At 46.6% G+C, this 15,078-nt stretch overlaps 2 annotated features.

The window, feature by feature from the left end:
- Nucleotides 11,157-11,849: an enhancer, noted in NCBI's record as "OCT4-NANOG-H3K4me1 hESC enhancer chr13:45883380-45884072 (GRCh37/hg19 assembly coordinates)". NCBI's record gives its function as "activates a minimal SCP1, AML or CMV promoter by ChIP-STARR-seq in primed H9 embryonic stem cells {active_cell/tissue: H9 hESC(primed)}" and the evidence as "EXISTENCE:reporter gene assay evidence [ECO:0000049][PMID:30033119]".
- Nucleotides 13,693-13,752: a silencer, noted in NCBI's record as "silent region_5312". NCBI's record gives its function as "represses an Ori minimal core promoter by ATAC-STARR-seq in GM12878 lymphoblastoid cells {active_cell/tissue: GM12878}" and the evidence as "EXISTENCE:reporter gene assay evidence [ECO:0000049][PMID:35858748]".

Consider the following 15,078-nt stretch of genomic DNA (forward strand, 5'->3'; position numbering starts at 1 on the left):
GAAAAGAAGCCAGGAAGTGAGAGCTGGGGTTGCACACTGTGCAGCACATGTGATATTTATTTTTGCTGGGTGTTTTTAAACAGCTGTTGTCATCAGTAACTGGGGATGGAGAAACTTGTCCTGGTTTGGGTAAAGTGGTTGAGGTGAGTCTGGTATCTTTGTACTGGGTACAAAGAAAAGGGTATCTTTGTACTGGGCGGGAGATTGGTGAAAATGATCTTTAATGTTGCTGTGGTTTGAAGATCCTGTCAGCCTCGCCCAGCTCAAGACTGGTGAGGGGTTTGCTGTATTGTTCTTCTCACCCAGAGACTCTGGACATGGCAGAGGCCCAGCTACAACACCCACACTGAATTTTACACATGGACATCCCACTGTGGACAGGAGGCAGGCACCAGACAGGCATGCATGTTCTCAGAAAAGACCATTCCCTGCATGGCTTCACAACAGTCTCACCTCCCCCCTGCTGCAGGCCCACCTGCTTCTACACACACTTTTGCATGCACCCAAAAATGCTTGTCTTTATCACTTAATCCTTACTCAGTTCCCTCCTACTCAAGGCCCTTTCAGTTGTAAGAAAGAGAAGTTTATTCACACCTGGGCATGGTGCCTCATGCCTATAATCCCAGCATTTTGGGAGACTGAAGCGGAAGGATCAGTTGAGCCCAGGAGTTCAAGACCAGCCTGGGCAATATAGTGAGACCCCATCTTTACAAAAAAATAAAAAATTAGCTGGGCGTGGTGACACACACCTGTAGTCCCAGCTACTCTGGAGGCTGAGGTGGGAGGATCACTTGAGCCCAGGAGTTGGAGATTAAAGTGAGCTATGATTGCACCACTGTACTCTAGTCTGGCCGATAGAGCAAGACCATGACTAAAAAGTCCAGCGAGGCACGATGGATCACTAGAGGCCAGGAGTTCAAGACCAGTCTGGCCAACATGGGGAAACCCCATCTCTACCAAAAATACAAGATATTAGCAGGGTGTAGCCCTATTGCAGCTGCTCATAGGGCTGAGGCATGAGAATCACTTGAACCCAGGATGTGGAGGTTGCAGGGAGCTGAGATTACACCACTGCACTCTAGCCTGGGTGACTGGATGAGACCCTATCTGAAAAAACAAAACACAAGTTTAAAAAGTCCATTCAAGGTGGCTCAAAGGTAGGAGGCACAGTCTTCACAGAGACCGGCCCTCCCTTTCTTGGGCTGCAGGGTCTTTGCTGGTGGCCTGCCTCTGTGTTATCTGCGGCATCCTGCTCTCTACAGATTAGCTTCCCTGGGTCCATGCAGTTTGAGTTCCTCCATAACTTGGCGTGCACTGTGCTTTGTCTTGATATGGTGCCAACTCTGGCTTCAATTTTACATGATTGGTCAGCTTAGCTCCCCATAACTGGCTGACTCACTCTAGGTCCCATTTCCAGGTTTCCCAGACCAATCTGATTGTTGCCCATCTTGGGTCAGGTCAGTGGGGCTAGAGGGGTTAGAGAGAGGAAAGCAGGAGGGTGCATGTGAGTTCACAGCCAGTAGGAGCTGTAATTGTGGGGTTGGGGTGATTCCCAAGGAAGGGTTCATGTCTAGCTGGGCACTCCAGAAAAAGACCACAGTATCCTCAGACTGCGACAGCTCCTCGGGAATGCTCTTCTGAGAATATGAGCCCTGAGGTTCCATCGTACTCCATTCTGGTGAGAACTTGTGCCTAGGTCTGAGTTCCACAACTAAAGAGAGCACTGAAAAAAAGGTTCACCAGTGAATTTCAAGATAACAGTGACAATTATGAGGGAAAGGCCCTCATAACTGCAGTGGTGCAATCGTGGCTCACTGCTGCCTTAACCTCCCAAGATCAAGCAATCCTCCCACCTCAGCCTCCTGAGTAGCTGGGACTACAAGCATGGATCACCACGTCCAGCTAATTTTTTTTTTTTTTTTTTTTTTTTGTAGAGACAAGGTCTCCCTGTGTTGCCCAGACTGGTCTCCAATTGCTGGGCTCAAGGGATCCTCCTGCCTCGGCCTCCCAAAGTGCTGGGATTACAGGCGTGAGCCACCATACCACACCTCCACAGTTATTTCTGATGATCAAGCAGGTCTGAAAACCATTGCACTCATAAAACATTTTCAACCAGAAAATTAATAAAAACGGCTGTTTGGTGGTAGGGTTTTCCTGGCCATGAACAAACAGCTTGTAGGAGAGTTCAAGAATTTCCTGAAAAAGCACAGTGACATCCCACCTACACATCACACCACGCACCCTGCCCTGAGAACTTGAGAATGAATCCACTGACAGTGTGAGCCTTAGGAGGCCTCCCTGCTCTCTCACCTGAAAACCAAGGATGAGAATAGCGGTGGGAGGGGTGAACGAGAAGAGTATCAAGTGGCTTCACTCAGTGCCTGCCACATAGTAGATGTTCAGTGTTTATTATTGACTGTTTTCAGAGCTACTGCCACTCAATAGTGAAGATAACCTGCATTTCACACATTTCTAGCTACCTCACAGGAAATGGCCATAAAGCCATTAACGGGTATGAAAAGCCGGGGACCAAGGAAATCTCATAGTGAGTAAAGAAGGTTGTCTTTATCAAACACACCAAACAGTAACTCCAGTTTGGAATAAAAGGTAAATATTTATTGGCCCTAGGGCCCTTGCTAACTAGCTTAGAGTCCTGTGTGCTCAAATGTCTCCACTGTACCCCCACGCAAAGCCATCAGAGCCAGCAAACCAGCTGTGTCAGCCCCTACACAGCCAGACCTGGACCTCCCACTGCTTGACTATAGGTTTTCCTGATTGTGTCCCTCCTTGGGGTGAATGTCCCAATAGGAAAAATGGAAAGGAGAAAGTATTTGTTGCCCCCGTGTGCATAACTTACCTTTCGAAATATCAGTCCAGGCCAAGTGCAGTGGCTTACACCTGTAATCCTAGCACTTTGGGAGGCCAAGGTGGGCGGATCACTGGAAGTCAGGAGTTCAAGACCCGCCTGGCCAACATGGTGAAACCCCGTCTCTACTAAAAATACAAAAAATCAGCCGGATGTGGTGGCGGGGGCCTGTAATCCCAGCCTCTCGGGAGGCTGAGGCATGAGCATTGCTTGAACTGGAGGCAGAGGTTGCAGTGAGCCGAGATCACGCCACTGCACTCCAGCCTTGGTGACAGGAGTGAAACTCTGTCTAAAAAAAAAAGAAAAAGCCGGCTAAGGCAGGAGAATTGCTTGAACTCAGGAGGTGGAGGTTGCAGTGAGCTGAGATTGCGCCACTGCACTCCAGCGTGGGCGACAGAGTGAGACTCCATCTCAACATTAAAAACAAACAAACAAACAAAAAAAAACAGTCCAATTGGTTGAAATTGTAGGTCCCCTGGTTCCTTCTCGTACAGTGTCTGCTCCGATTTCCTTGCCCTTCAGGGTGTGATTTCTGCAGGCGATAACAGCACTGGGAGTAACTGAAGAAAGTGCCTCTTCATGGTCGCTCGCGGGAAGGCAAGCACTTCAGTCACACTGTTAGGTATGCTTTAGAGTGCATATTGGCAACAAAATAAAGGTGGATCACGCTCAGGGTTCTCCTTACTGGTTTTGTACCTTAGCATTTGTGACATACAAGGAGAAGTCTCTGAGCTGGCAGCTCCTCACTTTGTAGGATAATGAGAAATCCAGGCACATTTTTGTTTTGGTGCAGCAGCTGGTACTGGTGTCTCAGCCCATTTGAGTTGCTTTCACAAAATGCCATAGACTGGGCAGCTTATAAACAGATTTTTTTTCTCCCAGTTCCAGAGGCTGGAAGTCAGTTCTGGTGAGGGTCCTTGTCTGGGTTACAGACTGCCTTTTCTTTGTGTCTTCATGTGGTAGAAAGAAGGAAAGAGAGCTGTCTGGGGTCTTTTTTATAAGGGCACTAATCCCATTCATGAGGGCTTCACCCTCATGACGTAATCACCTACCCAATCTCCACCTCCTAATGCCATCACCTTGGAGATGAGGATTTCAACATGGATTTTAGAAGGGACACAAACAGCCGGACGCGGTGGCTGACGCCTGTAATCCCAGCACTTTGGGAGGCTGAGGCGGGCAGATCATGAGGTCGGGAGTTCCAAGACCAGCCTGACAAATATGGCAAAACCCCATCTCTGCTAAAAATACAAAAATTAGCTGGGCATGGTGGTATGCACCTGTAATCTCAGCTACTCAGGAGGCTGAGGCAGGAGAATCACTTGAACCTGGGAGGCGGAGGTTGCAGTGAGCCAAGATCGTGCCACTGCACTCCAGCTTGGGTGACAGAGTGAGACTCTGTCTCAAAAAAAAAAAAAAAAAAAGGACACAAACATTCACTCTGTAACAGTTGGGGGTAGTCATACCTTAACGAGCTTGATATGAGAATGTGTTCTCTTTTTTTTTTTTTTTTTTTTTGAGTCAGGGTCTTGCCCTGTATCTTTTTTTAAAATGATGAATAAACCTTATTTTGAAAACAACTATTTGCTGCCTTCCTTCCTCAGCTGAAATGAATGCACAACTCTGTTATTTTTCAAAGTGGAGGCTACACCTACACAGGATCTACTTTTGGGCTTGGAGAGGGTGGTTAATGCCACAGCGCATGAAGGCTGACTTGCCAAATTAATTTAAATTGGGCTGAATACAATCCCCGTGGGTGAGTTGAAATCACTCTGACTGACCTCGAGCTTGGGTGGTGAAAATTAGCATTACATACAGTTGAGAGCAAGCAGCAGGGTCAGCCTGGGGGCTGTCTTTCTAAGCATCTTTCTCTGGGATCTGGCAAAAGGAATTCAGAAACTGTATCAGTCAGATCTGCAGGAGCTTCATTTACTTTTTCTGATAGCTGACACCGTCCCTCACTTGGCTTCGAGGAGACTTGATAATGGGTGAAGAAACAGCTCCTTCCTCTAGATTTGGGGGACAAGGAAGGATGGATGGCTGGGCTATTAATTAGTGATTACCATAAGGTTTTTGACTGTGTAAAGAGAAGTCAGGGGGTCTCACAAAATTACTGTTTAGTTCAGGCCCCGATGTCAATGACTTGAAAGAAATTAAAAGGACCTAAAGAAAAAGAGACTAGAAATAATTTAATGAAAACATAACTTCTAATCACTCTACTTCAGTTTATCATGTACAAGCAATGTGAACCACACCTATTCTCAGAAAAAAAATTGAGATTACTTAAAACTTCCTATACAGATGAAGGGACTTCTAGTGAAAAGGACGTAGGCTCTGGGGCAGGAACACTGGCTCAAATTTCAGCTGTTTGGGAACAGCTTCTATCTCTGAGTTTTTATTTCTTCTTCCTTATAAAGGGTACAACCAAAGTACCAATGTTACATAGATGTTGTAAGGGTAAACCTATTAGCTGTTGTTATTTATTTTTATTAGCGCAGGTCCCTTGAGTTGCAAATGATGGAAACTCAGACAGGCCTAAGCAAAAAATAGAATAAATCTGCACCATGGACCTTAATATTAGGGATAAATAATGCAAAGACATAGTATATAGGCCCATTTGTTGATTACTGATTCCATTACAATATAACTTAATGAAGGCTTGCCAATAAGGAACTGAGCTTGTACTTCCAGAACAGCACATCTTGAGACTGATTTTTTTGTTTGTTTGTTTGTTTGTTTGTTTGTGACGAAGTCTCCCTCTGTTGCCCAGGCTGGAGTGCAGTGGCACCATCTCGGCTCCCTGCAACCTCTGCCTCCCTGGTTCAAGCAGTTCTCCTGTCTCAGCCTCCCGAGTAGCTGGGATTATAGACACCTGCCACCACGCCTGGCTAATTTTCATATTTTTAGTAGAGATGGGGTTTCACCATGTTAGCCAGGCTGGTCTTGAACGCCTGACCTCAAGTGATCTGCCTGCCTCAGCCTCCCAAAGTGCTGGGATTGCAGGTGTGAGCCACTGCGTCCAGCCATTGAGACTGATTTGATGCAAGTAATGAGCTTAGAGAAACTGCAGGCCTGGTGACAGCATGTCTCCTACATGGTCTTCTCCAGTCTCAGCATCCTCCATGCTTTTAGAACACTGCCTCCTCCGTGGTGTCGCTCTGCTAGCAAACATGCTCTGTAGGAAGAGACTCGTGAGAATTCTTGTGGATATTTTAAATTTTCTTCTTTAGGAAGTGGCACTAGAGTAACAGGTTATAGCAAAATGTGAGAATTATGAAATAGTAGCACTGCTGAAACTCACAGGCCCTTGGGAATTGTGATTGGAACTGCCTAGAGGTGCAGGCCAAGCCTGGCAGGTCAGCAGGGGTGCAAGAGCAGGAAGATGGAGGGGAGACACCGTGCTACCACGTGGGGAGGCCCATTAAACTGTGAGCTCCTCCTACCGAGGTAGAGCTTGGAATTAGTGTTTGTCCCCTTTAGGTAGCACAGCGCTTGGCACACAAGAGACGCTTAATAAGTACTTGCTAAATGAATACACCGATAAATAACAATGTTGTGAACTAAGGTAGAAGTAGACAAGAAGGGCAGAACAAAGATGTTCTGAAAGAAGAAATGACCAGAGTTAATAATGCATATGTGAGATAGAGAAGAAAGATCCCAAATGAAATGGATTTTTATTTATTTCCAATGAATTGATACAGGGAAGCACTGACCGTTTCCATTTGGACATAATGAGTTTAAACTGCAGTCCAGTCTCTAAAGCTGAAAACGTGGGACTCCAGACTAGAGGTCTGGACTTAGTGATGGAGATGACAAAGTTCTTGGAACTGGGGGAGGGGGCCAGAGGAGTGAGATTGGTAGTAAACAGAAACCATCAAATAGATGTTGATTGTTGGTGATGATGATGTTATTATTATTTTTGGAGACAGGGTCTCCTCACTCTGTGGCCCAGGCTGGAGTGCAGTGACACAATCTCAGCTCACTGCAGCCTCCACCTCCTGGGCTCAGGTGATCCTGCCACCTTAGCCTCCCCAGTAGCTGGGACCACAGGCATGTGCCACCATGCCCTGCTAATTTTTTTTTTGTATTTTTAATGCAGATGGGGTTTCACTATGTTTGCCAGGCTGGTCTCAAACTCCTGACCTCAAATGATCCACCCGCTTCAGACTCCCAAAGTGCTGGATTAAAGGAGTGAGCCAACCGCGCCCAGCCAGCCTCATCCTTTTTAACAGCCATCATAGGATTTATGATATGAACAAACCATAATTTATTTAAATGTTCCCCTAATACACATTGAGGCTGTTTCCAGACTTGAGTTCTGTTCTGCTTCATTTTGTAACAATGCTGGAAGGAACACCTCTGCCCATACATAGATCCCTGCGCTTTGTGTGGCCACACCCATTTTAGGAGGCCCTGTCCCTGAGGGAGAGGCCAGCATCATCAGGCAGTCTCAGTCATGGTATATTCAGGCCTGAGTTCTATCCTGATTCTACTCAAGCTTTAGGAGCTAAGGCGTTTGCAAATCTGCTGTGAAAATTCCTGAGGAAACAAGTTTCTATAAACCCTAGGGATTACTGACCTCTTCGACTTCTGTTTAACAAACTTTCACCTCCAATATCTGTGCCGTGAACGTTCTCTACCCTTAAAGAAAATTTTCTGACACGAAACAGGTTTATTGCTACCTATTCAAGTTCAGACTTTTACTTTTAAAAAATTATTTTATGCCGGTGCAGTTCCTTATGCCTGTAATCCCAACACTTTGGGAGGCCGAGGCGGGTGGATCACTTGAAATCAGGAGTTCGAGACCAGACTGGGCAACATGGTGAAACATCACCCACCCCCACTCCCACCATCTCTACAAAAAATACAAAAATTAGCCGGACGTAGTGGTGCATGCCTGTAGTCCCAGCTACTCCAGAGGCTGAAGCACAAGAATTGCCTGAACCTGGGAGATGGAGGTTGCAGCGAGCCGAGATTGTACCACTGCACTCCGGCCTGGGCAACACAGTGAGACTTTGTCCCCCCCCAAAAAAAAATTATTTTTATTTTCTATTTTTAGAGATGGGGGCCTTGCTATGTTACTCAGGCTGGTCATGAACTTCTGGGCTCAAATGATCCTCCCACCTCAGCCTCCCAAAGTGCTGGGACTACAGGTATGAGCCAGCATGCCCAAACCAGATTTTTACTTTTTAAATAAGTTTTCTTCTCTCTCAGAGTTTAAATGTGCTCAAAGTCTGTTTCTTTTTTTTATATATTTTTCTTATGCTCTAGAACCAACTCCTTCATGAAGGAATCAGCTACTTCTTATTTATTTTTCTTTTCTTTTCTTTTTTTTTTTTTTTGAGACAGGGTCTTGCTCTATCGCCCAGGTTGGAGTGCAGTGGCGTGATCATAGCTCACTGCAACTTCTACCTCCCCAGGCTCAAGTAATTCTCCCACCTCAGCCTCACATGTAGGTGGGACTACAGGTGCATGCCACCACACCCAGCTAGTGTTTTTATTTTGGTAGAGACAAGGTCTTTGTTTTTGTTTGTTTGTTTGTTGTTGTTGTTTGAGATATAGTCTTGCTCTGTTGCCCAGGCTGGAGTGCAGTGGTGCGATCTCGGTTCAAGCGATTCTCCTGCCTCAGCCTCCTGGGTAGCTGGAATTACAGGTGTGTACCACCATGCCCGGCTAATTTTTATATTTTTAGTAGAGACAGGGTTTCGCTATAGTGGCCAGCTGGTCTTGAACTCCTGACCTCAAGTGATCCACCTGCCTTGGCCTCCCAAAGTGCTGGGGTTACAGGTGTGAGCCACCATACCCAGCCAAGGTCTTGATATATTGCCCAGGTTGGTCTTGAACTCCTAAGCTCAATGATCCTCCCACCTTGGCCTCTCAAAAGTGCTGGGATTACAGGTGTTAGTCAACTGCCTGATTTTTCTTATTTTATAGCATCATGTTTGTTCTTCTTTTATAGATCCGCTGTTGTAGATTTCTCTAGAATGCTAATTAGCGGTCTTGTTGTACTCTTCTGTACCCTGCATTATATCTGTTTTCTATTTGTTCATCTTGGTTTTTCTCTTTCATGCTGAAGGCTCTGTTGGTGCTTCTTGCCTATTTGTTCACATTTTTTTAATGAGGAAATGAAATGTTTGATTAGGAGTTCTCTGTGTGGGCAGGATCTGTCACCAACAGACTTTGCTTTGGGTGAGCAGGTGGGAACCCAGCCATGGTTCTGGGAATCCTGAAATGCCAGCATGTGGAGGACCTAAATTTGGGACACCACACATTCTCACTTCCCTGATTTTCCCCAGAAAGCTTATTCAGTTTTCTAAAGAGAAAAATACTATGGAATGTCATGTTATGTTTTACATGATCTCACCTAGAGAGAAACAGCTGACTATAGATCCCCTCTGCACATCACTGTGGTGCCATATTCCATCCCCTCCCCCTTCCATAACAGCCTCCAAATGTTGACCACCTAGGAGGCCCAAGAACTATAATAGGTACTTGACATAGATCACCTCACAACTACCCAGGAAGGTAAATACTAGTATCCCTATATTCCACAAGGGTAAATTGAGCCTTAGAGAGGTTAAATAAAACATCCAGGGTCACACAGCCGATGAGAAGTGAAGGGAGAATTTAAACTCGTATCTCTCTAACTCCAAAAGCCATATGAATCCCAGCTACTTGGGAGGCCAAGGCAGGAGGATGCCTGGGCGCTGCCTCTGCTGTTGACAGAAATGGAGGGAGGCTGCTGAGTGAGTGTCAGAACCCTTCTCTTAAGTTTCTGATGTCATCCAAGGTCACTCAGCAGGTTAGAACTTTGAGTTCGCAGCCATTTTCCAATTCTGAGGTTGCTTCAAACCTTTCTGCCTTGGAGCTCTTATTTCTGAAAAAATAATGAATAAAAGAATCATCACAGTTCCCTTTTAGGGTCGGCTAGTGTCAGGTCATACAAGAAAAGGGCTTGGGATGGTTAGTTTTAAAACAAAGTGATCCAGTAACTCCCTGATGACTTTTATTGATTCTTACTGTTTGATATAACTTGCCATTTGCTAGCAAGTCTGCTTGCAGAAAGAAATGAAGAAAACATTCCCAACCAGAAGGTGGAAAGCTTCTCCTTAACACATCAATTTTACAGTTGTGAGAGACAAATATGTTTAATAACACATATATATTATTAAAGATAGGACATTCTCCCCACCCCAACACACACCTCTTCAGAAATTATTTTCTGATCTACAGAAGGGGGAGCAATTTGTACTCAGGAAAATAAACTTCTGGTATGCATTTAAAAAGTGTTTCATGTATTGTTTCTTGGCCTTTTGGTTAAGATCAAGTGTAAAAAGTGATTCGTGTATGCATTCTTAAAACAGAAATGATTCCATTAAATAAGGTAAATTGGGCCGGGTGAGGTGGCTCATGCCTGTAAAACCCTGCACTTTGGGAGGCTGAGGTGGGCAGATCACTTAAGGTCAGGAGTTCGAGACCAGCCTGGCCAACATGGTGAAACACCATCTCTATTAAAAATATAAAAATTAGCTGGGCATGGTGGCAGACACCTGTAATCCCAACTACTCAGGAGGCTCAGGCAGGAGAATCACTTGAACCTGGGAGGCAGAGGTTGCAGTGAGCTGAGATCACGCCACTGCACTCCAGCCAGCTTCCAAGAGGGTCTCCTATGATCCCCAGCACCTGGAATTCATGCCCTTGGGTAGTCAGTCCCAGGGCTAACCATGTAACCATTAGGACATTGAGGAAATGATGTGCAGCTTCCAAAACTAGATCATAAACCATATTGTGGCTTCCACTGTATTTCCATTGGAGTTCTCACTCTGGAGGAAGCAGCTACCATATCGTGGGAGAGACTGAAACGGTCCAATGATGAGATCCAGGAGGTGAGGAAGCCTCCTCCCAGCAGCTATGTGAGTGAACATCCTGGAAGTGGATACCCCAACCCAGTCAGGTGTTCAAATGACTGCAGACACAGCCACCATTTCACAGCAGCCTCAACAAAGAGACCCCAGGCTCATACCATCTAGCCAAGAGGCTTTGAATTCTTGACCCACAGAAACTTTGAGATAATACATATTTATTATTCTTAACTATATTTGGGGGTTATTTGTAACACAGCAGTAGATAATTGATTCAGTGACTCACAGTAAACAAGGTGAAAGAGATTCAGATGTGGATTTGAAATAAAAGGGAGTCCCCGTATTGAGAATTTTTAACCTTTAGAACATATGACAAAGCTCTGTCGATTAGGTAGGGCTGATTTCACTCACTGTTCTCCTCTGTGAATGTACACATCCCCCTCATCCATACCGCTCTATGCACTAGACTGTAATTATACTATTCCAGGGATTGTCATTGTGCACTATCATTATAAAAATGCTGAGGGTGGGAGACAAGCTGAGAGCTGGGAGACGGGTCTTCCTACAAAGCAGCCCCAAACACAACTGAAAACAAGGTCAAGACTTCGAATCCAACAGTGAGCATTAGCCTAGCCATCTTCCAGTTCATACCAGTGGAACGGAAGTTATCAGTCCTGTGTTTCCAAAATGCTTTCCAGCAACAGGACCTCCAGGTGTTGAAACCATGCTGGGCTGAGTGCCAGCCTTTTGAACTGCAAATTACCCTGGGGTTCTGTGGGAAGCAAACTTGGGCGCCCTCTGGTGCCCTTCTGGTGAACTACACCACCCAAACATTAACAATTATTTTATCAACAGGTTAGTCATCTATGAGTTAAATTACTAAAGTCCCTTTTCTGTACATACACAGTAGATGCAGCAGCTGGGAGTATGATTTCCGAAAAGAAAAACCGTACCTACATACTTTTTTTTAGCCAGTTGCAGATATTTTTCTTATTTATTGGATTAATTTTTTTATAGAGATGGGGTCTCCCTTTGTTGCCCAGGCTGGTCTCGAACTTCTGGGCTCAAGCGATCCTCCCAGCTTGGCTTCCCAAAGTGCTGGGATTATAGGCGTGAGCCACTGCCCCTGGCCCGGATGTTTTTCATTCTTTTTTTTTTTTTTTTTTTTGAGACGGAGTCTCGCTCTGTTGCCCAGGCTGGAGTGCAGTGGCTGGATCTCAGCTCACTGCAAGCTCCGCCTCCCAGGTTCATGCCATTCTCCTGCCTCAGCCCCCCGAGTAGCTGGGACTACAGGCGCCCGCCACCGCACCCGGCTAATTTTTTTGTATTTTTAGTAGAGACGGGGTTTCACCGTGTTAGCCAGGATGGTCTCGATCTCCTGACCTTGTGATCCGCCCGCCTCGGCCTCCCAAAGTGCTGGGATTACAGGCGTGAGCCACTGCGCCCGGCCAATTTTTCATTCTTTACTGCATTTATTTTATCTATACCTTAGCAGGGTGCAACTAATGGGTTATGGTTATTGATTGATTGTACAAATTTTAATAGAACCCTTACAATTTCATCAGTCTAATTATGGGAAGCCTTAGAGAAGTGGCTGCAAAATTTGTTAAATTTCACTTGAGAGCTAGAATACCAATGCTTGACTCAACTCCTGTTTTCATGTTTGCTGGTTTCAGAAGCCCCTGAGGCAAGATTTCGGGTAGGAACTATCAGTTGTTTACCCTCCCCACCTAGCACCCACTATTTCATCATCTTCCCTGCCTTTGTCTGTCTTTTGGGTAGGAGAGGGCAGTCACAGGGCAAAGTATTCACAAGAAGATACAAAAGGGTGGCTGCAGATGCATACATGAAGAACTTTAAATGAAGACAATCTGTGATGATGCACCTGTGTTTTGCACATTACGTACTTAACTGCTGAAAGAATACGTTCATAGTAAACACATGCTAACCACTCTGGCCATGTCAGAATGCCTACACAATAATAACCGCATCAGACTTAATGTACCAACAGCCCCACTTCCATCCCCAACGGAATGCTTGGTATCTTTCTGCAAAGGAAAATTTGGAAGCAAGACTGCCTCTCTTTCCACTTAGCCAGCAGGAATTTCAATAATAAGATGCGGCAGCATCCATTGACTTTGTACCACCTGTCTTTTATTGTAAGTGTTCACCCTAACGGTTTTTATTAACGCTTTGGCTTCCGTCGCTAAGCAACGTGCCACGTTGGGGCTCTTCGCCAGACTACACCTGTACAAATGTCAGCCTCATTCTCCTGGCTCTGAAGGAAACGTGACCGTTCCCCAAACATGCTCTTTATGGTTGCTTCCTCCTGTTCTTTTTCTCCTTCCCTGAACCGCTCCCAATAGAGACAGGTTGGCGCTTCAGTGCATCTCAGATCCTCTGGCGCCCGGGCGCCCCCTCCCGGCGACACCTCCCGGCTGTGAGCGCGCGGGAAGAGGCCAGAGGCAGGGCCTCTCACCTGCTCGGACTGCAAACCACAAAGCGTCTCTTTTTTTTTTTTTTTTTTTTTTTTTTTTTTTTTGAGGGGCGGAGGTGGTCATTTTTATGTTCCCTGGGCAAAGCGAGCAGCCGTTTGGCTTATAAAATAGCAACGACTGCAGTGGCCCACACTGTCATCACGAAATGCCGCCTCTTGTCATGGTCCCCGGAAAACAGGGTTGAGGAGGAGGAGGAGGAGGAGGAAATGGATAATGCCGATGAGTTACTTTTTTTTTTTTTTAATTTGGGTATGTTCGAGTACATTCTGGTCTGAATGGCGGTGGAGGGGAAGGTAGAAAGGAGGCGTCTGCCGAGCAGCATCCGCGCGGAGCGAGCTGCGGTCCTCGGGACCCCGCAGCAGGAGCCACGAGCCCGCCCCGGCGTCCGAGCCCTGCAGGCGAGGCCAGGCTTGGCGCGGAGGGACCTCAGCGTCCGGGGAGCGCTCGCTGTCTTTGAGTTCCTGCTGCCAGAGCCGGGCCTCCTCTGCTCTCCGCAGCCTCGCAGGGAGGGCGCAGGGGCGAGTCCTGGGCGGGCAGGGCAGCCGCGCCCGCCAGAGAGACAAAGGCCAGGGGGTCTCTGGCCGCAGCACTTTCCAGCGCCGCCCGGTCCTCACACAGAAAACTCTTCTAGCTCTGCGGGTGCGGCTCTAAACGGTAATGTTTGCATTTTCTCTAGGGTGATCCGCAGAGGGGGCCAAGCCATAAGTCCCCTCCAAAAGTCTATATGTGTTCATCGCATGTTTACCAGAAGATTTGACACTACACCAAAAAGCACACAGACAAACACCTTAGAAGTATCACCGTAAAAACGGTTATCTTTCCAGCCAAAAGTCTTGAAATGTGTGGCTCCTAGCGGCAAGCAGCAATGGGATAGTCGCCAGGGTCCTTTTACCCTGTTTAGAAGGTTGGGGAGGCTGAAGAACATCGCCTGCAGGCCTGGTGGGGTGGCTGACGCCTGTAATCCCAACGCTTTGGGAGGCTGTGGCGGCAGATCACTTGAGGTCAGGAGTTCAAGACCAGCCTGGCCAACATGGTGAAACCCCCGTCTCTACTAAAAAAAAAAAAAAAAAAAAAGAGGCCGGGTGCGGTGGCTCGCGCCTGTAATCCCAGCACTTTGGGAGGCCGAGACCGGCAGATCACGAGGTCAAGAGATCGAGACCATCCTGGCCAACATGGTGAAACCCTGTCTCTACTGAATATACACGGCCTCCCAAAGTGCTGGGATTACAGGCGTGAGCCATGGCGCCCGGCCTTCTTTTTCATTTTTGAGACAGAGTCTCATTCTTTCTCCCAGGCTGGAGTGCAGTGGCATGATCTTGGCTCACTGCAGCCTCCGCCTTCCAGTTTCAAGCGATTCTCTGCCTGAGTCTCCTGAGTAGCTGCGATTACAGGCGGGTGCCACCGTGCCCTGCTTATATTTTATTTTATTTTTTATGTTATGTTATGTTATGTTATGTTATGTTATGTTATGTTATGTTATGTTATTTTTTGAGATGGAGTTTCTCTCGGTCGCCTAGGCTGGAGTGCAGTGGCGGGATTCGGCTCACTGCAACTTCCGCCTCCTAGGCTCAAGCAATTCTCCTGCCTCAGCCTCCCGAGTAGCTGGGACTACCGCTACACCACGCCCGGCTAATTTCTGTATTTTAGTAGAGAAGGGGTTTCACCATGTTGGCCAGGATGTTCTCGATCTCTTGACCTCGTGATCTGCTGGCCTCAGCCTCCCAAAGTGCTGGGATTACAGGCGTGAGCCACCGCACCCGGCCTTATTTATTTATTTATTTATTTATTTATTTATTTAGTAGAGATGGGGGTTTCACCATGTTGGCCAGGCTGGTCTTGAACTCCTGACCTC

This window comes from Homo sapiens, chromosome 13 (genome assembly GCF_000001405.40).
Source record: "Homo sapiens chromosome 13, GRCh38.p14 Primary Assembly".
Classification (NCBI taxonomy): Eukaryota; Metazoa; Chordata; class Mammalia; order Primates; family Hominidae; genus Homo; species Homo sapiens.